Raw genomic sequence first — 21,834 nt, forward strand, 5'->3', positions numbered from 1 at the left:
AGCCCGGCGTCGTCCCTGCTCCTTCCTGTACTGACCCCAACTTCTGTCGCTCCGGCATCCCCTCGGGGACTCGGGTCTGCCTGCCCTCACCGCACCCACCTCCCAGGTTCGCCCCGTCTTTTCTCTGGACCACAGCAGAGACCTCGCGGAGCTGCCCTCCCTCCGATCTCAGCCACACAGTGCCAGAGTGTGCTTCTAAAATGCAGATCTGACGGGGTCACCCTGTGCTTAAAAATTTTCCTCCCTATTTCCCTCACAATAAAATCCAACACCTCTTTCTGGCACATAGAAAAAGAGAATAATAGATTCACACCTGACTTTTCATCAAGAGCAACAAAGCCAGAGAGAAAATAACCATCATCTTAGAATTATATATTCAGTGAAAATGTATTTCAAGAATTATGTACCCAGTATGAGGCACATGTATCCAGAACGTAGGTGAAATCATAGCACTTACAAATACAAAAACTTAAGAGTTTGCCACTGGTAGACCCTCCGGAGGGAGATTCCAAAGCTGGAACTTCAGGCAGGAAAAAGATGATCCCAGACGGAGGTCTGATGCAACTGGGAATAAAGAAAAATGAAGAACAGCGATAGTGTGAAACAATAACAATGACTTCTGGATAAAAACAGATTTAAAATACACAACAGTGATGGCATTTACTTGGGTGAATGGAGTTAAAGTGTTCTAAGATCCTTATATTCTTCAGGAGGAAGGTGAAGATAGATACCAAATACACTTTGACGAATTTAAGAATCCAGATTGTCATTACTGGGATAAACACTGTAGGACTGGAAATACTGTGTATAGTTATCCAAATTATTGGAGGAGGAAAAAGAATGATTAAACCAACCCAAACAACTGTAAAGCAGGCAAGAATGGAGAGAAAAATAAATACAAGACGGGGCAGGGAGGGGACAAATAGACGATAGCTATAAATTCGAATATTTTGTGATTCAATAAATGCAACTAAATATTGCAGTTAAAATACAAAGATTATCAGAATGCATAAATAGCTAGATGCAGTTTACAAGAGAAACCCACAAGAGACACTTCCAAAACATAAAGCTAGTGATGGTCAAAAGTAAACACATGGGGGGAAAATACCACGCAAATGCTAACGAAAAGAAGGCTGGTGCAGTTATTTTAATATCGAGGGAAAAACATCACTAGAGATAAATAAGGTCATTTCATAATGAAAAGTGTCCAATTCACCAGAAAAATAGAACAATTTCACATTTGTATGCAAATCATCTTAAAATATAAGAAACATGAAGAAGACAGCTAGATGGAGAGATAGACAAATCCACAATTATAGTGGGAGATCTTAACACTCACCCCTCCATAAGTGGTAGGAGAAGAAGAAAAATATTCAATAGTATATAGGAGATTTGAACACAATTAATAAACTTAACTAATGGACTTCATAGCACACTGTTATCTACCATGGTAAAATACTCCCCTTTACAAGACATGGAATACTTACAAAAACAGTTCATTTCAATAAATTTCAAAAGTCAGAAATAACAGAATACATTCTCTGACCACAACACATATAAGCTAGAGATGAATAATAAAAAGTTCACTTCAAAAGCCCCATATGTTTGGAAAGTAAGAAGTATGGGTTTTTTTGTTTTTGTTTTTCATTATATTTATTTATTTATTTTGAGACAGAGTTTTGCTCTTTCACCCAGGCTGAAGTGAAGTGGCACGATCTTGGCTCACTACAACCTCTGCCTCCCAGGTTCCCAAGTAGCTGGGATTATAGGCACCCGCCACCACCCCCAGCTAATTTTTGTCTTTTTAGTAGAGGTGGGGTTTCACCATGTTGGCCAGGTTGGTCTCGAACTCCTGACCTCAGGTGATTCAACCATCTTGGCCTCCCAAAATGCTACAATTACAGGCATGAGCCACGGAAGAGGTACGTTTTTATGTTAACTAGCGGTTCAAAAAAAAGAAATTGTAATGGAAATTATAAAATATTTTTAACTGCTCTTCCGCTGTCGCCGTGGGAATGGAAATCTGTCCCTCGTGCTGGAAGCCAACCAGTGGTGATGACTCTGTGTGCCACTCCGCCTCCTACAGCGCGGATCCTCTGCGTGTGTCCTCGCAAGACAAGCTCGATGAAATGGCCGAGTCCAGTCAAGCAAACTTTGAGGGAAATTTTGAGTCGCTGGACCTTGTGGAATTTGCTAAGAAACAGCCATGGTGGTGTAAGCTGTTCAGGCAGGAATCTGGACCTTCCCCGAAAAGTGAAGGGTGGCAACCCAGCCGTTCATTGGGGGTGTCACTGAATGGTGCACGGGTTTCATATCCCAGAAGGTTGGAAAGTTGGCTGTAACAGTTGTGGGAGGTGTTTTGTTTTTTTCTCCTTCAGCTTGCAAATCATACTGGGTACATCAAAGTTGACTGGCAACGAGTGGAGAAAGATATAAAGAAAGCCAAAGAGCTGCTGAAGATCCCTTAAGAGCAATCAGATACCTACCAAGGTCAGGAGCAAAGCTGAGGAGGTGGTGTCGTTTGTGAAGAATGTTCTAGTGACTGGGGGATTTTTCGGAGGCTTTCTGTTTGGCATGGCATCCTAAGGAAGATGACCTTATTTTCATTGTTCTTGTTTTTTTTCCATCCAGCAGTCTCTACACTCCATCATAGGACATCAAGTCTCTCCTCTTCTCCTGTGCCTTCCTCCCTGCTGTAGCAAATCCGAGTGGCTTCTATAAGCATCTCTTGGTACAAGTTAATGTGGCCCTTGGCCAAGTGCGGTGGCTCATGCCTGTAATCCTAGCAATTTGGGAGGCCGAGGCGGGTGGATTGCCGGAGCTTAGGAGTTTGAGACCAGCCTAGGCAATATGATGAAACCCCATCTCTACTAAAATACAAAAAAAAAAAAAATTAGCCAGACGTGGTGGCAGGCACCTATAATCCCAGCTACTTGGGAGACTGAGGCAGGAGAGTTGCTTGAACCCGGGAGGCGGAGGTTGCAGTGAGCTGAGATCGCGCCACTGCACTCCAGCCTGGGTGACAGAGTGAGACTCCGTCTCCAAAAAAAAAAAAAAAGTTAATGTGGCCCTACCATGAGCTTGATGGTGGCAGAAGAGGCAATAGTTGTTAGGTCTCCTCCCATACACCCCGTATGTGGCCAATCTGTAGGTCAGCAAGAAGGTTCCTTTTCCCCCATGCAAGACACTTACCAGATCACATTGCAAGATGACTCGCCATGGAGGATGAGCAGACCCTGAAAGGTTGTCTCAAACTGTTGATTTGGAAAAGAAATAAGCACATAGATAAACTTATTGTGTGCTGCATGGAAAGGAACTGAATACATTTGCCTTTAAGCATGAAAAAAATATTTTTAACTGAATGACAATAGAAATATTACATAGTAAAAATGTTGGGCTATGGCTAGTGCGCTTCTTAGAGGGAAGTTTATTGCCTTTTGTGCTTATATTAGTAAAGAGAAAAGGCTGAGAGTAATGAACAAGCGCTCGTTTCAAGAAGCTAGAAAAAGAGCAGCAGAATAAACCAAAGAAAATGAAAGGAAGGCAAGAGTAAAGGTACAGGAGAAAATAGGCCAGGCACAGTGGCTCACGCCTGTAATCCCAACACTTTCGGAGGCCAAGGCAGACGTATCACCTGAGGTCAGAAGTTTAAGACCAGCCTGGGCAACATGGCAAAATTCCATCTCTACTAAAAATATAAAAATGAGCAGGCTTGGTGGCTCGTGCCTGTACTCCCAGCTAGTCAGGAGGCTGAGGCAGGAGAATTGCTTGAACCCTGGAGGCGGAGGTTGCAGTGAGCCTATATCATGCCACTGCACTCCAGCCTGGGCAACAGAGTGAGACTCCATCTCAAAAAAAAAAAAAAAAAAAAAGAAAGAAAGAAAAAAGAAGAAGAAGAAATGGTAAAGAGAAAATAATGAAATGGGATCAGCAAAACCAAACATTATTTCTGTGAAAAGACTAATGGCATGGACGACTCCTGTTGAAATTGATCAAGAAAAAAGAGAGAAAACACAATTAACTAATATCAGTAATTAAAAGTTACAGAACCTGTAGACATTTTAAAAAGGAAAATAAAAGAGGATATTATGAATAGTCTCATTACAATAGCGTAAAAATTTGAATGAAAGGGGCAAGTTCCTAGGAAAATATGCCTTACCAAAATGGTCGCAAGATGAAGAGAAAACCCGAATGAGTACCATCCCTAGTCATAGTACCAAATTATGAAATACTTTCATAGCCAGTTACTGACCATTTGAAACACTTTCCAGCCTTCACATGGAGCAGGGTCCAGAAGGCTGTCCAGGCAGTAATTCCGTGATTTATGTGACATCAGAAGGTCTGGGGGATCTGGGGCATCCCTGGAAGAGTCATTGCACTTAGGAGGTTGATCGTAGCGGCTACATACCAATTGGTATGAAATTATTTTGGAATTTGAGCAACCTGAAGTCCTATGGCACCAGCTGGACATCAGACCTCCCCATAATGATTAAAGGAAGGAAACCGGTAATGCTTCCACAAAGAAAGCTCAGACCCAGAAGACTTCACCTATAAGCTCTTGAAAGAACTCATTCCAATGCTACCCCCAACTTTTCCACATAATAGAAAAAGAGAGACTGCTTCCCAATTCTTCATATGGCAAGTACAGCACAAGAGAAAATTACAGGCCAATGTCACTTATGAATATAGATACCAAAATCCTAAATAAAACAGCAAATCAAATTGAGCAGTATGTAAAAATGATACTACATAGTGGTAAAATTGGGTCTAATCCAGAAATGCAAGGTTGGTTTAACATTTGAAAACCAGTCAATATAATTTGCCTCATTAAAAAATGAAAGGAGAATTAGCCAGGCATGGTGGCGGGTGCCTATAATCCCAGCTGCTCCGGAGGCTGAGGCAGGAGAATCGCTTGAACCCGGGAGGTGGATGTTGGAGTGAGCCAAGGTCGTGTCGTTGTACTCCAGCCTGGGCAACTAGAGCAAACTCCACTCAAAAAAAAAAAAAAAAAATTAAAGGAGGAAGACATGTGATCATCTCAGTATATGCAGAAATAGTTCAACATCTGTTTGTTTTAAAACTTGTAGCAAACTATCAACACAAGGGAATGTCTTTATCCTGGTAGAGGGCTCTATAAAAAACCTACAGCAAATATCTTAATGAATGTTGAAATGTGGAAAACATCCCCTTGAGATCAGTTACAAGGCAAGATTGGATGAATCCCCATTTCTGCTAAACATCACACTGGATATCCTGAATCTGTTGCCCACTGTGGTGGCCATTGGCCAAATGTGACTGTCAAGCATTTGAAATGTGACTAGTTCGAACTCAGACAGAAGAATAAAATTAGATACAGGCCAGATTTCAAAGATTTAGTACCCAAAACATGTAAAATGCCTCATTAATAAGTTGATATTTATTTAATATGGAAATGATAATATTTTGATACATTAGGTTAAACAAAAAATTCATCTTTTTTTTTTTTTTGAGACGGAGTTTTACTCTTCTTGCCCAGGCTGGAGTGCAATGGCGTGATCTCAGGTCACTGCAACCTCCGCCTCCCAGGTTCAAGCGATTCTCCTGCCTCAGCCTCCTGAGTAGCTGGGATTGCAGGCATGCACCACCATGCCTAGCTAATTTTGTATTTTTAGAAGAGATGGGGTTTTGCCATGTTGGTCAGGCTGGTCTCGAACTGCTGACCTCAGGTGATCCGCTCGCCTTGGCCTCCCAAAGTGTTGGGATTATAGGCGTGAGCCACCGCGCCTGGCCTATAAATTAATTTTTAATGAAGATTTTAGAAAATTTTAAATTACAGTTGATCCTTGAACAACACAGGTATGAACTATGTGGGTCCACTTATTCATGAGTCTTCTTCCACCTCTGGGAGGTGGCAAGACAGCAAGACCCACCCCTCCTTTTCCTCCTCCTCCTCAGCCTACAAAGCATGAAGAGATGAAGACCTTTATGATGATCCACTTCCACTTAATGAAGAGTAAATATATTTTCTCTTCCTTATGATTTTCTTAATAACATTTTCTTTTGTCTGGCTTACTTTATGGTAAGAATACAATATATAATGCATGTAGCATATAAAATATGCGTTCATTGACTGTTTATGTTATAGGTAAGGCTTCCAATCAACAGTAGATTATTAGTAGTTAAGTTTTGGGAGAGTCAAAAGTTATATGAGGCCAGGTGCAGTGGCTCACTCATGTAATGCCAGCACTTTGAGAGGCCAAGGTAGGTGAATCACCTTAGGTCAGGAGCTTAAGACCACCCTGGTCAACATGGTGAAACCCCATCTCTACTGAAAATACAAAAATTAGCCAGGTGTGGTGGTGGGCACTTGTAATCCCAGCTGCTGGAGAGGCTGAGGCAGGAGAATTGCTTGAACTCAGGAGGCAGAGGTTGTAGTGAGCTGAGATGGCACCACTGCACTCCAGCCTGAGTGACACAGAAAGACGGTCTCAAAAAAAAAAAAAAAAAAAAAAAAAAAAAGACAACAAATGAAAGAAAGGTGAAGTGATTTGAAATAAGACCATCAGCCAGTCGTGGTGGCTCATGCCTGTAATCCCAGCACTTTAGGAGGCCTTCAATAGCTTATAGGTGAAGTCTTCTGGGAGGCTGAGGTGGGCGGATCACAAGGTCAGGAGTTTGAGACCAGCCTGGTCAACATAGTGAAATCCCGTCTCTACTAAAAATACAAAAATTAGTCGGGCGTGGTGGCTTGCACCTGTAGTCCGAGCTATTCGGGAGGCTGAGGCAGGGGAATTGCTTGAACCTGGGAGGCGGAGGTTGCAGTGAGCAAAGATCGCACCAATACACTCCAGCCTGAGCTACAGAGTGAGACTCTGTCTCAAAAAAGAAAGAAAGAAAGAAGACCATCATTATTTTCAGATTTTATGTAGAAAATTTTAAAAATCTTCAGAATATTTATTATAATTAATAAGAAAATTTAGCAAATTGTTGGATAAAATATCAACAGACAAAAACCTATTGTGTTTTGTGTTTCCATATGCCAGTAATAATTAGAAAATGAAGTAAAATATTATTTATATTATAATAAAAATATGTAAGATATCTGGGAATAAATCTAATGAAAATATGCAAGGCCCTTATGGAATAAAATCATAAAATTATATTGCAAGACATTAAAGAAGATCTAAATTTATTTTTTTGGCCGGGCACGGTGGCTCACACCTGTGATCCCAGCACTTTGGGAGGCCAAGGCGGGAGGATCACTTGAGGTCAGGATTTCGAGACCAGCCTGGCCAACATGGCAAAACTCCATCTCTGCTAAAAATACAAAATTTAGTCAGGCATGGTGGCATGTAGCTATCTATGATCCCAGCTATTCTAGAAGCTAAGGTAGGAGGATCGCTTGAGCCTGGGAGGTTCAGGCTCCACTGCACTCCAGCCTGGGTGACAGAGCGAGACTGTTTAAAACAAAAAACAAACAAAAAAAAACAACAACAAGACATAAAGCTATAGCAAATAAAACAATGTCCTATTGTTCAAGACTAGACAAATAGAAAAAAAGGAATGACAATGAGAGCTTAGTCAAAGAGAGAAGGAGAGAGAGAGAATAAAATTGCAGTCACTGGGTAAAGGATACACTTTTCAATAAATGGTGATAGTTATTCATACAGGAAATTAGACCATTAGACCTCCTGCCTGGCAAAAATTGACTCCATCTGACTTCAAATCCTAAATGTGAAAGACAAAATTCTGAAACTTTTAGAAGATGATATTTTAAAATATCTTTATCTTTATGATCATGAAGTAGGGAATCGTTTCTTAAACAAGAAACCAGGAACATAATTCATATAGGAAACAATTGATAACTTAGACTCCATTAAAACTATGAGCTTTCTTTATGAAAATACATATAAAGTCAGCCAGCGACTTGAAAAGCTGAGGCAGGAGAACCGCTTGAACCTGTGGGGTGGAGGTTGCAGTGAGCTGAGATCGTGCCACTGCACTCCAGCCTGGGTGACAGAGTGAGACCCTGTCTTAAAAAAACAAGGCCAGGAGCGGTGGCTCATGCCTATAATCTCAGCACTTTGGGAGGCTGAGGTGTGTGGATCACCTGAGTTCAGGAGTTCGAGACCCGCCTGGCCAGACTGGCCAACATGGTGAAACCCCGTTTCTACTAAAAATACAAAAAATTACCGGCCGTGGTGGTGGGTGCCTGTAATCCCAGGTACTCAGAAGAATCGCTTGAACCTGGGAGGCGGAGGTTGCAGTGAGCCGAGATTGCACCACTGTACTCCAGCCTGGGCAACAAGAGTGAAATTCCATTTCCAAACCAACAAACAACAAAACAAAAAGAGCCAGGCGCGGTGGCTCACACCTGTAATCCCAGCACTTTGGGAGGCTGAGGCGGGCAGATCACCTGAGGTCAGGAGTTCAAACCAGCCTGGCCAACATGACAAAACTCCATCTCTACTAAAAACTACAAAAATTAGCCAGGCGTGGTGGCAGGCACCTGTAATTCTAGCTGCACGGGAGGCTGAGGCAGGGTTGAACCCAGGAGGCAGAGGTTGTAGTGAGCTGAGGTGGCACCACTGCACTCCAGTCTGGGCGACAACGTGAGACTCCGTCTCAAAAAAAAAAAGAAAAGAAAAGAAGAAAATATATATAAAGTGAACAGAAAAGAAAAATATTTAAAACACTCATAAATGGACAAAGGAGGTGATGTAAAGAGTTCCTGTGAATCAAGTGGGAAGATGGACAATCAGTTGTAGCAAAATACAGGAGTGCAGAATGTGGCAAAGACTTGGACAGGCAAAGAGAGGAATCACCAGTGGCCAACAGTTGTGAAAAGTTGTTCAAGCTCATGAGTAACGCAAATAAAATCCCACAATGAGATACGACTGATTAACAAAAATGTTAAAGTCCGTTTTAAAAATTATTGCAAGCAGGCTAGGTGTGGTGGCTCACGCCTGTAAACCCAATACTCTGGGAGGCTGAGGTGGGAGGATTGCTTGAGCCCAGGAGTTCGAGATCAGCTTGTGCAATATAGCAAGACCCTTGTCTCTACAAAAAAATCAGAAATTAGCCAGGTGTGGTGGTGCATGCCTGTACTCTGAGCTACTCAGGAGGCTGAGGTGGGAGGATCACTTGAGCCCAGGAGTTCAAGGCTGCAGTGAGATATGATCACGCCACTGCACTCCAGCCTGGGTGACAGCGAGAGACCGTTAAAAAAAAAATCTTGCAAGCACTGGCAAGAATGTGGAACAATTCTTCTTCTTCTTCTTTTTAGACAGTCTCACTCTGTCACCCAGGCTGGAGTGCAGTAGTGTGATCTCGGCTTACTGCAACCTCCACTTCCCGGGTTCAAGTGATTCTCCTGTCTCAGCCTCCCGAGTAGCTGGGATTACAGGCATCTGCCACCACACCTGGTTAATTTTTTTGTATTTTTAGTAGAGATGGGGTTTTGCCATGTGGGCCAGGCTGGTCTCGAGCTCCCGACCTCAGGTGATCCACCTGCCTCGGCCTCCCAAAGTACTAGGATTACAGGCGTGAGCGACCGCACCCGGCCTAATTTTTGTATTTTTAGTAGAGATGGGGTTTTACTATGTTGGTTAGGCTGGTCTCAAATTCCTGACCTCGTGATCCACCCACCTTGGCCTCTCAAAGTGCTGGGATTACAGGCATGAGCCACTGTGCCTGGCCTATGTATGGTAACTTTAACTTTTTTTTTTTTTTTTTTTTTGAGATGGAGTCTTGCTCTTGTTGCCCAGGCTGGAGGGCAGTGGCGTGATCTTGGCTCACTGAAACCTCCGCCTCCTGGGCTCAAGCAGTTCTCCTGCCTCAGCCTCCCAAGTAGCTGGGATTACAGGCACGCACCACCACGCCCAGCTAATTTTTGTATTTGTAGTAGAGGCAGTGTTTCTCCATGTTGGTCAGGCTGGTCTTGAACCCCTGACCTCAGGTGATCTACCCGCCTCGGCCTCCCAAAGTGCTGGGATTACAGGTGTGAGCCATGGCACCTGGCCATGTATAGTAACTTTTAAAGAAAATTCCAAACTGTTTTCTAATGTAGCTGTGCTATTTTGCATTTCCACCAACACTATTTGAGAGTTCCAGTTGCTCCACATCCTCACCAACTCTTGATATTGTCAATCTTCAATTTTAGCTATTTATTGCCCATATACTGACTGAATGTAGAGAATTTGCATTTCTCTAATGGCTAATGATGTTGAGGACCCTTTCAAGTAGTTATTTGCCATTCATATATCCTCTTTGGTGAAATGCGTTTTCAAATATTTTGCCCATTTTAAAAATCAGATCATCTTCTTAGTCTTGAGTTACAAGAATTTTTGGCCAGTCATGGTGGCTCACACCTGTAATCCCAGCACATTGGGAGGCCGAGTCAGGCAGATACTTGAGGTTAGGAGTTTGAGACCAGCCTGACCAACATGGTGAAACCCCGTCTCAACTAAAAATACAAAAATTAGCCGGGCATGGTGGTGTGTGCCTGTAATCCCAGCTACTTGAGAGGCTGAGACATGAGAATCACTTGAACCCAGGAGGCAGAGGTTGTAGTGAGCTAAGATGGCACCACTGCACTCCAGCCTGGGCAAACGGAGCAAGACTCTGTCTCAAAAAAAAAAAAAAAAAAAAAAAAAAAGATTTCTTTATATAAATATTTTCACCAAGACTGGTTTGCCTTTTAATTTTTTTCTTTCTTTTTTCTTTTCCTTTCTTTCTTTTTTTTTGAGCTAGGGCCTCACCCTGTCACCCATGCTGGAGTGCCATGGCATGATCATGGCTGACTGTACCCTTGACCTCCCAGGCTCAAGTAATTCTCCCACCCCAGCCTCCTAAGTAGCTGGGACTATAGATGCACACCACCATGCCCGGCTAATTTTTGCATTTTTTTTGTAGAGATAGGGTTTGGCACTATTGCTCAGGCTGGTCTCGAACTCTTGAACTCAAGCAATCCACCTGCCTTGGCCTCTCACAGTGCTGGGATTATAGGCATGAGCCGCTGCATCTGGCCACCTTTTAATTTTTTAAATGATGTCTTTTGAAGAACAAAAGCTCTCACATTGCAGAATAGGATCCATTTTGGGTTAATTTTATATATGATGTGGGGTGAGGGTCAAGGTTCATTTTTTTCTCCATAAGGTTAATCGATTGTTCCAGCACCTTTTGTTAGAAAGACTGTACTTCTCCTTACTGAATTGCCTTAACACATTTATCAAAAGTCAGTTGCTTTTATGTGCATGGATTAAATTCTGAACTCTCAATTCTGTTCCTTGATCACTTGGGCTCAAGTGATCCTTCTCCCTCAGCCTCCTGCGTAGCTGGGACCACAGGTGTGTGCCACCATGCCTGGCTAATTAAAAAAAAAAAAAATTGTAGCAATGGGGTCTCACTATGTTGCTCAGGCTGGTCTCCAACTACAGGCCTCAAACGATCCTCTCACCTTGGTCGCCTAAAGTGTTGGGATTACAGGCATCAGTCACCATGCCCAGCCCTATATTAAGTCTTAAAATCAGGTAGTCTAAGTCTTGTAACTTTGTTCTTTTTTTTTTTTTTTTTTTTTTTTGGCTTTTCTAGATCCTTTGCCCTTTCATATAAAGGGCAAAGGGCACATTGTCAATTTCTACCAAAAAGAAAAAAGACTACTGATATTTTTATTGGGATTATTTTGCATCTATAGATCAATTTGGAAATAATTTACATCTTAACAATATTGAATTTTCCAACCCATGAAAACATTCTATCTCTTCATTATTTAGGTTCTGTTTAGTTTCTATAAGCAATGTTCTACAGTTTGGGGGTACAACTGCAGTTTCACATCTTCACCAGGTTATCCCTAAGTGTTTCATGGCCATTGTTAAGTGGTGTTTCTAATTTTCTATTTTAATTGTTCATGACTAGCTTATACAACTCAATGGTATTTCTTTATATTGGGCTTGTATTTGACAACACTGCAAAACTCGCTTGTTAGTTCCACTAGCTTTTTTGTGAATTCCATTCAGTTTTCTTTTTTTCGTTTTTCTTTTTCTTTTTCTTTTTTGAGATGAAGTCTTGCTCTGTCGCCCAGGCTGGAGTGCAGTGGTGCCATCTCGGCTCACTGTAACCTCTGCCTCCTGGGTTCAAGTGATTCTCCTGCCTCAGCCTCCCTCGTAGCTGGAATTACAGGTGTGCGCCACCACGCCCACCTAATTTTTTGTATTTTTAGTAGAGACCGGGTTTCATCAAGTTGGCCAGATTGGTCTTGAACTCCTGACCTCAGGTGATCCGCCTGCCTCAGCCTTCCCAAGTGCTGGGATTACTGGTATGAGCCAGGATACCTGGTCCAGTTTTCTTTTTTCTTTCTTTCTTTTTTTTTTTTTTTTTTTTTTGAGACAAAGGTTTTTGCTCTTGTTGCCCAGGCTGGAATGCAATGGCACAATCTCGGCTCACTGCAACCTCCACCTCCTGGATTAAAGTGATTCTCCTGCCTCAGACTCCCAAGTAGCTGGGGTTACAGGCATAAGCCACCACGCCCAGCTAGTTTTTGTATTTTTAGTAAAGACAGGGTTTCACCATGTTGGCCAGGCTAGTCTCGAACTCCTGACCTCAAGTGATCTGCCTGTCTCAGCTTCCCAAAGTGCTGGGATTACTAGTATGAGCCACAGAGCCTGTCTCAGTTTTCTATATAGATGATAATGTCTGTGAATAACGACAGCTTTAATTTATTTCTAATCTGTATGCCTTTCTTTTTCTTGCCTTATTGCACTGGCTAAGACCTTCAGTACAATGTTGAATAGAAATATTGAAAGTAAATATACTTGCTTTCTTCTTGATCTTAGGGAGATAGCACTCAGATTTTTACCAGAATTTGTGATGTCGGCTATAGATTTGTGTAGACACCCTTTATTAGATTGAGAAAGTGCAGTGGCTCACACCTGTAATCCCAGCACTTTGGGAGGCTGAGGTGGGCAGATCACGAGGTCAGGAGTTCAAGACCAGCCTGACCGACATGGTGAAATCCCCTCTCTACTAAAAATAGAAAAATTAGCCAGGCATGGTGTCATGCACCTGTAATCCCAGCTACTCAGGAGGCTGAGGCAGGAGAATCGCTTTAACCCAGGAGATGGAGGTTGCAGTGAGCCGAGATCACGTCACTGCACTCCAGCCTGGGTGACAATGCAAGATTCTGTTAAAAAAAAAAAAAAAAAAACAACCAATGGGTCATATACAAAAATGATGACCCAGAATGACTTCAGACTGCTCAATAGAGACAGTAGAAGTAGGAGGACGATAGAGGAATCCCTTCACATTCCTGGAAAAACATCATTTCAACTTAGGATTCTATACCTAACCAAACTACCAAAGAAGTATGAGGAGGGACACAAAAACATTTCAGACACGCAAAGTCTCCCAAATTTTATTGCCCATGCACTCTTTCTCAGGAAGATACTGCAGGATTTTTGCCACCAAAAAGATGGAGTAAAACAAATAAGAAGTCATGGGAGGCTGGGCGTGGTGGCTCATGCCTGTAATCCCAGCACTTTGGGAGGCTGAGGTGGGTGGATCACCTGAGGTCAGGAGTTCGAGACCAGCTTGGCCAACATGGCAAAACCCTGTCTCTACTAAAAATACAAAAATTAGCCGGGCATGGTGGTAGGCACCTGTAATTTCAGCTACTTGGGAGGCTGAGGCAACAGAATTTATTCAATCCAGGAGATGAAGGTTGCAGTGAGCCAAGATCATGCCACTGCACTCCAGCCTGGGTGACAGAGTGAGACTCTGTCTCAAAAAAACAAAACAAAGCAACAACAACAACAAAAAGAAGTCATGAGAGCCAGGGGGAAAGGAGAGAACTGAAGGAGATTTCCAGAACAACGGGTATAGCCTGGGTGCAGAGGAGAGTCGGTTCAAACCACAGCAACTTAGGAGGCACTGGGAGAGCTGCCTTCAGGAAGATGAAATTGACGGAATAGCTGATGGGCCCAAAAGCATTGAGATGGCTTAGGTAATTGGCAGGATGTCTGCGATCAAACTAGTAATAAGCACATTTTAAAAAATGAAGCAGGCCAGGTACAGTGGCTCACACCTGTAATCCCAGCACTTTGGGAGGCTGAGGCAGGAGGAAGACTTGCTGTATACAGGAGTTCAAGACCAGCCTGGGCAACATAGTGAGACCTAGTCTCTACAAAATATCAAAAATTAGCTGGGTGTGGTGGTATGTGCCTGTAGTCCCAGCTACTCAGAAGGCTGAGGTGGGAGGATGGCTTGAGCTCATGGGGTTGAGGGTGCAGTGAGCTGTGATCACATTACTGCGCTCCAGCCTTGGTGACAGAGTGAGACCCTGTCTCAAAATAAATAAAATAAAATGAAGCAAAATAAAAGACAAATAGAAAGCCCAGAAAAAATACAGTTAATTTTGAGAAGTGAAAGTAGTCATAGTATACCATGTGGCTCAGCTATGAAGCAAACTGACATAATCTTAATGATATAATACTGGATATTGCTATAACCAAAAGGACAATATTATTATGCTGGGAGAATGGAGGGAAAGGAGGAGCAGAGGAGAGCCATACCCTCCCACTCTATAGTAGCCATCAATAGGTAATGTTAAACACCAAAAGATCCAGAAGTGGCCCATAGCATGCAGTTTTCGTGGTTTACACAAAAGAACCAGCTAAAGGAACTGAAATGGTTGCCTCTGGAAAGAGGTAAAACAGGGTGGGGAATATTATTTTTCTCAATGAACCTTGCAGAGGGCCAGGCGCGGTGGCTCATGCCTGTAATCTCAGCACTTTGGGAAGCTGAGGGCGGCAGATCATGAGGTCAGGAGTTTGAGACCAGCTTGACCAACATGGTGAAACCCCATCTCTACTAAAAATTAGCCGGGTGGGGTGGCATGCACCTGTAATCCCAGCTACTCAGGAGGCTGAGGCAGGCGAATCACTTGAACCCAGGAGGTGGAGGTTGCAGTGAGCTGAGATCACACCACTGCACTACAGCCTGGGTGACAGAGCGTGATCCTGTCTCAAAAAAAAAAAAAGAATCTTGCAGAACTATATGATATGTGTGTATATGTACACATTATAAATATAAATTATATGCATGTATAATGACGTGTGTATCCATATAATAAGAAAATACATATATATACATTACACAGGTATAATTTTGATGTGTAAATACCAAAAAAAGAGGCCCTGAATATAATCTCTAAGGGAAGGCAGTCGGGGGGCCTCTGCAACTGCCTGTGGACCTTCGCTGGAGGGAAACAGGACTGAGGTGGGTGGGCTACTCAGGAAGCCTCTGCATGGCCCAGCAAAGACAAGAGCATGGCCTAGACTATGGCCCTGCAGGAGAATGGAGAGAGGTAATCAGATTAGAGAGAGAGAAAAGATGTGGTGAATTAACTGGGGTATGGGGCAGGTAGAAGGTCAGTTTGGATGCCCCAGTCTGGGAAAGCATAGTGCCCTCCACTGAGCTGAGGCTTCTCCTTTCAGAGGGGAAACAGACGTCATCAGAGGAGAAGCCCCTCACCTTCCTGCCTCAAACCCCCGCCCCAGGAGGACCACCTTCATGGGCAGGTGGTCAGTCAGTCACACAGGACTTCCCTCCTCAAAGGGCCAGGCATGTGGCTTAATGCTCTGCTGTCTTGAAATTCATAACAATTGTTGAACAAAGGGCTCCATGTTTTCATTCTGCATGGGACCCCACAAATTATGCAGCCACCCCTTCCCACCCCCAGTATGTCTGTACCCATGTCTGGCTCGCGTTACCTGCTCAGGCATCAAAATTATCTGTAGAGCTTGTAAAAACCCAAACTCTCAGACCCACCTCCACCTCTATGTGGGTTCCTGATGTCAAGGACAACTGCCACCATCCTCTAAGTGTCTTAGACCTTCTGTCCTCAAAGTGTGGTCTGAGACCTGCAGCATCAACCTCACTCGAGAGCTTGTCAGAAATGCAGATTCCCAGGATCCACCCCACACCCACTGAGTCAGAACCTGCAGTGTAGCAGGACCCCCAGGGGACTCACCTGCACATTTATTTGTGAGAAGCACCGTCTTAGGCTATCTCAAGGGAACATTCTAGACTTTTCCCCCTAATTCACAGGTCACCAGGTACTGCGAGTTATTCCCTAATTACATCACACATCCCGCTGCAACTGCCCCCAGGATGGCTCCTCTTGGAGGTCCCACGACCTCTCAAACTGAACATACCCAGACCTGAGCGCCCTGCCCTCTTCTTCTCCCAAGTCACTTCTTCCTCCCCCTCCTCCTCCCCTTTTTCCAGTACCTGTCCAGGTGAACTGAGCCAGCCAAGCCAGGTACCCAAGGAGTGTTCCAGGGCCTCCTCTGGCTCACCTCCCTCCACCTCTCACCATCCCCTTCTCCCAGTCTCTATAGCAACCACCAACCACCCTCCAAGACGTAGCCACCAGCACCTCTCACTTCAGCCACCTCCACCATCTCGCACTGGCAGTGGACTGACCATGTCACTCCCTAGAACGACCCCTCGGTGGCTCTCAGCTCAGGGCTGTTCTGCAATGGCACACCTCCACACCTGCTCTCTGCTTACTAAATGCTTCCACTATTACTATTGCTTCCAGCTTTCAAAACGAAGCCTGATCAGCTTCTCCTCCACAGCCTGCCCTGGCTACCCCTCTGCCTGCCCCCACCAAAACTTCTGGGCTCCCCTTAGCCACAGCCCTGGTCCTGCTGTGGTCTGTGAGTTTCCCCCAGCAGCCTGAGAGCTCCTCTGGGAGGGACAGGGAACTGCCTGATTCAATCACCAGCCTGGTGCTCTGCCTGGGGCCATGCACACAATAGGGGTCCTGTGTTTGAGTAGATAAAGGCCCAGTGAGGGGCTAGCCTTCAGCAAGCCACAGGGAGATGGCAGAAGATGGGGTTACGCAGCGGGAGTGGGGAAAGCTGTTACAGAGGTGCCCTTGTGGACCCAGCTATAGGCGGGAGGATTGCTTGAGCCTAGTTCAAGACCAGCCAGGGCAACATAGCAAGACTCCATCCCTAAAAAAAATAAATTTAACATTTTATTTTATTTATTTTTAGACGGAGTTTCACCTTGTTGCCCAGGCTGGAGTGTAGTGGTGTGATCTCAGCTCACTGCAACCTCTGCCCCCCAGATTCAATCGATTCTCCTGCCTCAGCCTCCCTAGTAGAGCTGGGATTACACGTGCGCATCAACATGCCTGGCTAATTTTTGTATTTTTAGTAGAGACGGGGTTTCATCATGTTGGTCAGGCTGGTCTCAAACTCCTGACATCAGGTGATCCACCTGCCTCGGCCTCCCAAAGTGCTGGGATTACAGGCGTGAGCCACCACGCCTGACCAAAAAATTAAATTTAAACTCTTAAAAAGGTCAGCCCCGGTTGAATAAAAAACAGAGAGGGATGGCTACAGGACGCCTGGTGCCCAGTTCCCGTCCAGAGCCCTGGAGGACAGCAGGATTCTCTCTGCCCACCAGGTGGCGCCAGATTCCCGGCGTCCGGCTGCCCAGCGCTCGGTGTTGGGTGGATGGGGCCCCAGGGAAGCCAGAGGCAGAGCCTGCAGGACCCACAGCAGGTCCTCGAGGGGACATGCCCCATCTGCTTTCCTTGCCTGAGCGTCCACCATCAGCACCCTCCACAGTACAGGGAGGAGGGCTGTGGATGATGGGTGTGTCACGGGAAAATGGAAGAGAAGGCTGAGCGTCTTGCAAAGCAGCTATCGGGTGATGGAGCTAGACATTTGCACACCTGCAGGCTGGGTCACATCCTGTTTTCTGAAGACGCTCACCATGGGGCCTGTCTGCGCGGCCACCGGAGCCAGGATCGAGCCCAGACAGTCCAGTCCCAAACAGACCCACACTCTTAAGCACTGGGCTTGCCTGCTGCCCCTCCCTGCGGTCAGATCCCCTCCTGTTACAGATGAGGAAACTGAGGCCCAGAGAGGGGAATCGCTTGCTGAGGATCCACCCCTTGTGTGGAGCAGAACCAAAATGAGGGCTTCTGCCTGGTGGCTCCGAGGCCAGCACGCCTTCCTCCGCCATCGTGGAAACCCCTTGTCCCTTCCTGTCCAAGGAGCCCCGGCCCCCCTCCCGTGGGCTTTTCCCAGGAGCCTCCCTGTTCTGCCCAGCTCCCCTCTCCTCCCTTGCTCCAGACCCAAGCCACCCACAGACTACAACCCTTCCTACAGCCCCTTTCAACAGCCCCCGAGAGGATTTCCACCAGGGATTGGAAGAGGTCCTCATTCCTCCCACCCCCGGGCCGGATGGGGGCCGGAGGGGCAGGTGCGCGAGCGGCGCCGGATGGAGGATAGAGGGGCAGGAGGAGGTGTGGGCAGGCATGTCTTTTCCGGGTCCCACCTGAGGCCCCAGGTGCAGCCCCCTCGCACCATCCCCCGTCTGCCTGTGTTTGGGACCCAGGGCTGCGGCCGAGATCCATTTCCTCCCAGCCTCTGACCACCTGCTCCTGCCTCTCAGCACGTCTGCTTCTCCCCTCATCCCCTTAGCAAGCCCTGGCCTCTGCTCCTTTCCTGCAAGCGCCCCACAGTTATCCTGCCTCTTCTCAGGGCACCCTTCCCTTCCTCCCATGTCTCAGTGTTGTCTTCCCCCAGCTGGGCCCTGGGCAGCCCCCTCCCTGAGCACTCCTCCACCAGCCCTCAGTCCACAGCTGGGAAAACTGAGGCCTCTAATCTGGGGGCTACTCAGGCACATGGTTGGAGTTCAGTTATCTGTGTGTCCCCCAGGCCTGGCACAGAGCCCCGCACTGGGGTGGACTCTGCAGTGGGAGATGGTGGATGGGTTCAGCACAGAGCCCAGCGCTGGGGTGGACTCTGCAGTGGGAGATGGTGGGTGGGTTCAGCACAGAGCCCAGCGCTGGGGTGGACTCTGCAGTGGGAGATGGTGGGTGGGTTCAGCTGTGCTGGAATCTTGCTCCACCACAGCATGCTGTGCAGCCTGGAGCAGGTCCCTCAACCTCTCTGAACCTCCATTTTCTCATTTGTAAAACCAGGAAGAATGAGGCCTATTTTTTAGGCTTGTAGTGAGAATTGACAAGACAACGTATGCAAAATAAATATCACAGTATAAGGTGGTTGCCATTCATTCATTCTATAAATATTGATTGAACACCTTTTTTTTTTTTTTTTTCAGATGGAGTTTCACTCTTGTTGCCCAGGCTGGAGTGCAGCGGTGTGACCTCAGCTCACTGCAAACTCCGCCTCCTGAGTCCAAGCAATTCTCTTGCCTCAGCCTCCCAAGTAGCTGGGATTACAGGCGTGTGCTACCACGCCTGGCTAATTTTGTACTTTTTTTTTTTTTTTTTTAACTAGAGATGGGGTTTCACCACCTTGGTCAGGCTGGTCTCAAACTCCTGACCTCAGGTGATCTGCCTGCTTCGGCCTCCCAAAGTGCTGCGATTACAAGCGTGAGCCACTGTGCCCGGCCTGATTGAACACCTATTATGTCTCATTATTATTAAGTTCAAAAGAAAAGAAGCCAATTCAGCAGACCCCAGATTCTGACCTCCCATCCTATGCTGTTTCCTGGTGCATCCTCCACTCCTAATCCACACGGAGGCGTCACCCTAAATTACCCGGCTGCACATATCACTACCCTGGTCAAAAGCCCCCAGCAGTTCCCCGGTGCCTAGGGTGTCAGCTCCCGACTCCTGGCAGTGACACTGAAGACCCTCTGTGATCTGGTTCCAGCCTCTTTTCCATGGGATCTCTCTATCTTGTGACACCAACTTTGACTACAGGTGTGCAGATCTGGGTCCCGTGGCCAGAACACCCTGGGCTTTCTCACTGCCACGCCTGTGCTCCTGCTATGCCCTTGAGTGGAACAGCTACCATTTTTGTCCTTACCCAACAAAGTCCCGTCCGCATTTTCTGGCCCATTTCCCCCAGGTGGCCTCTCTGACCACCTGGAGCCAGGCTCTGAACCTCAGTCAGCCTCCTCGCCTAAGCATCCCGTTCCCCACTCCCCAACCGGGCCCTGCAAGGCCAGCTCTATCACCAATCATTGGCAGGAACCACTGGGCTAACAGCAGGTGCTGGACCGATCCACATGACAGGGGATGGCCTGACCTGCCCGTGTGATCAGAGTCCAGCTCTGCCACTGTCCCACGGGGATCATTCTTATCCGTCACATTCCTAAATGGACTAGAATGGTGGCCTCCTCTGCCCTGGGACCCTACTCTCTCCAGGCAATGGAGAAAGAGCCAGGGGTCCCCCCACCACTAACTGCCCCACTGACACTGTGGGGTCTCTTCCCATAGTCACGGTGCAGGCATCAACCAGATACCAGACTAAATGGGATTATCCAGACAGGACCACTGGGCCAGAGCCTTCTGCTGGAGGGAGGGAGCTTTGCTCCTCCCCTACACCCTCCCTGTTCCAGGGCTCAGTCCCTTCCACAAGGTCCCACCAAGCCTTCACAAGCCTGCCCCGTCTAGCGATGGGGAGCCCCATACCCCCTGGGGCATCTTGTCCATCTCTGATAGTTAGTTCAGAGCTGAGCTAGCTGCCTCCACGGAATTTCTGCCCCATTCATTCATCCTCTGTGAGTTCCTTCTGCACGCATTGAGCACCTACTGGGTGCTAGTTGATGTGCCAGCTCGCCTGAGCTTTGCAACACCTCTGTGAGGTGTGAAGGCGGATGCTGATGACAGTGATGGTTACAAAACCAATGAGGAAAGTGAGGTGCAAAACCAATGAGGAAAGTGAGGTGCAAGAGAGATCGCCACCCACACAGAATCTCACAATCATCAGGCAGCGGCTGGGCCAGGAGTAGATTTTCCATCTGGGTGACCCAGGAGCCTGTGCTCTTTCTTCCACTGAACTGAATACGTCCCCTAGCAGGACTTAGGAGGGGTAATACTTGGGGAGGTGGGGGCAGGACTAGCCTATCCAGTCCCCCAAAGCCTTCAGTAGAGGGCATAGAGCTGGACCTGCGTTGGGGTTACCAAGGGTAGCCAAGGGTAGTTTTGGAGCTGCTGCAGCCGCTGCTCACCCCCGGGAGCCTCCTTCTGAGAAGGAAGTATTATTGAGCCTACATTGTGTTGGGAGGGAAAACGTGGGGTCCTTGGAGCCCTGCCAGCCCCCTGCCTTCAGGCTGTTTGGCTTTGTTTGTTTTTTTGGTCTTTTTTTTTTTTCCTTTTTCTTTGGGCTGATTGTTCTCATTAAATCTTTTTGTCCTGTTTTGTTTTTTACGGGGCTGACAATGCTGCTCAGTGCTTAGCGCGGCTTCCTGTGTTTCTGCCCCAGCGCAGGCCTCGATGGGGCTGTGCTTCCTGTTGTGAGCCGTCGCCATGGCAACTGGAGGCCTGGTGGGCTCCATGGGGGTATGGGGAGGGGTGACATCAGTGACGTCACCGGGTGAGAAGGCAAGGGGCAGGGGTCTGGAGGGGGTTGCATGGGGGAAGGGCAGCCAGCAGCCAGCCGGCGCATTGCTGGGAGCTGACTCACAGCCCGGGAAGGGGAAGAATGCCCTCACATTCTTTTGGGAGGTAAACAAGGTCAGGGAATGCGGCTGGGATCCTGTTTACCTGACCCTGGCCCCCCGGGGGACCCGAAGCCCTTACAGGACAACACACTGGAATAGAACCAGCCAGACTTGGGGGGCTAGGGAAGCAGGGGAGAAGAGAGGAACCGTGAGGGGCCCCCAGGTGGGGGCCAGAGACAGAAAGCCCAGGATTCCAATCACATCTCCACTAGGTGACAGCGTGACAGCTCTATGACTCTGAGCAAGCCACATGGCCTCCCTGTGCCTCAGTTTCCCCTATTTCTAAATGGGGAGAATTTCTCGTGCAGATGGTCCCTTGGTCTCCAATCACTTTGGGCTGGTTTCGGGGGTTGCGAGGGT

General features: G+C 46.7%; 1 pseudogene, besides 2 other annotated features; it reads left to right on the top strand.

Annotated features, from left to right (window-relative positions):
- On the top strand, positions 1,994-2,750 carry FUNDC2P4 (FUN14 domain containing 2 pseudogene 4; annotated as a pseudogene).
- Positions 18,185-18,990: an enhancer, noted in NCBI's record as "H3K27ac-H3K4me1 hESC enhancer chr22:39567703-39568508 (GRCh37/hg19 assembly coordinates)". NCBI's record gives its function as "activates a minimal SCP1, AML or CMV promoter by ChIP-STARR-seq in naive and primed H9 embryonic stem cells {active_cell/tissue: H9 hESC(naive and primed)}" and the evidence as "EXISTENCE:reporter gene assay evidence [ECO:0000049][PMID:30033119]".
- Positions 20,003-20,672: an enhancer, noted in NCBI's record as "H3K27ac-H3K4me1 hESC enhancer chr22:39569521-39570190 (GRCh37/hg19 assembly coordinates)". NCBI's record gives its function as "activates a minimal SCP1, AML or CMV promoter by ChIP-STARR-seq in primed H9 embryonic stem cells {active_cell/tissue: H9 hESC(primed)}" and the evidence as "EXISTENCE:reporter gene assay evidence [ECO:0000049][PMID:30033119]".

The sequence above is a fragment of the Homo sapiens genome, chromosome 22, assembly GCF_000001405.40.
Source record: "Homo sapiens chromosome 22, GRCh38.p14 Primary Assembly".
In the NCBI taxonomy this organism is placed as follows: domain Eukaryota; kingdom Metazoa; phylum Chordata; class Mammalia; order Primates; family Hominidae; genus Homo; species Homo sapiens.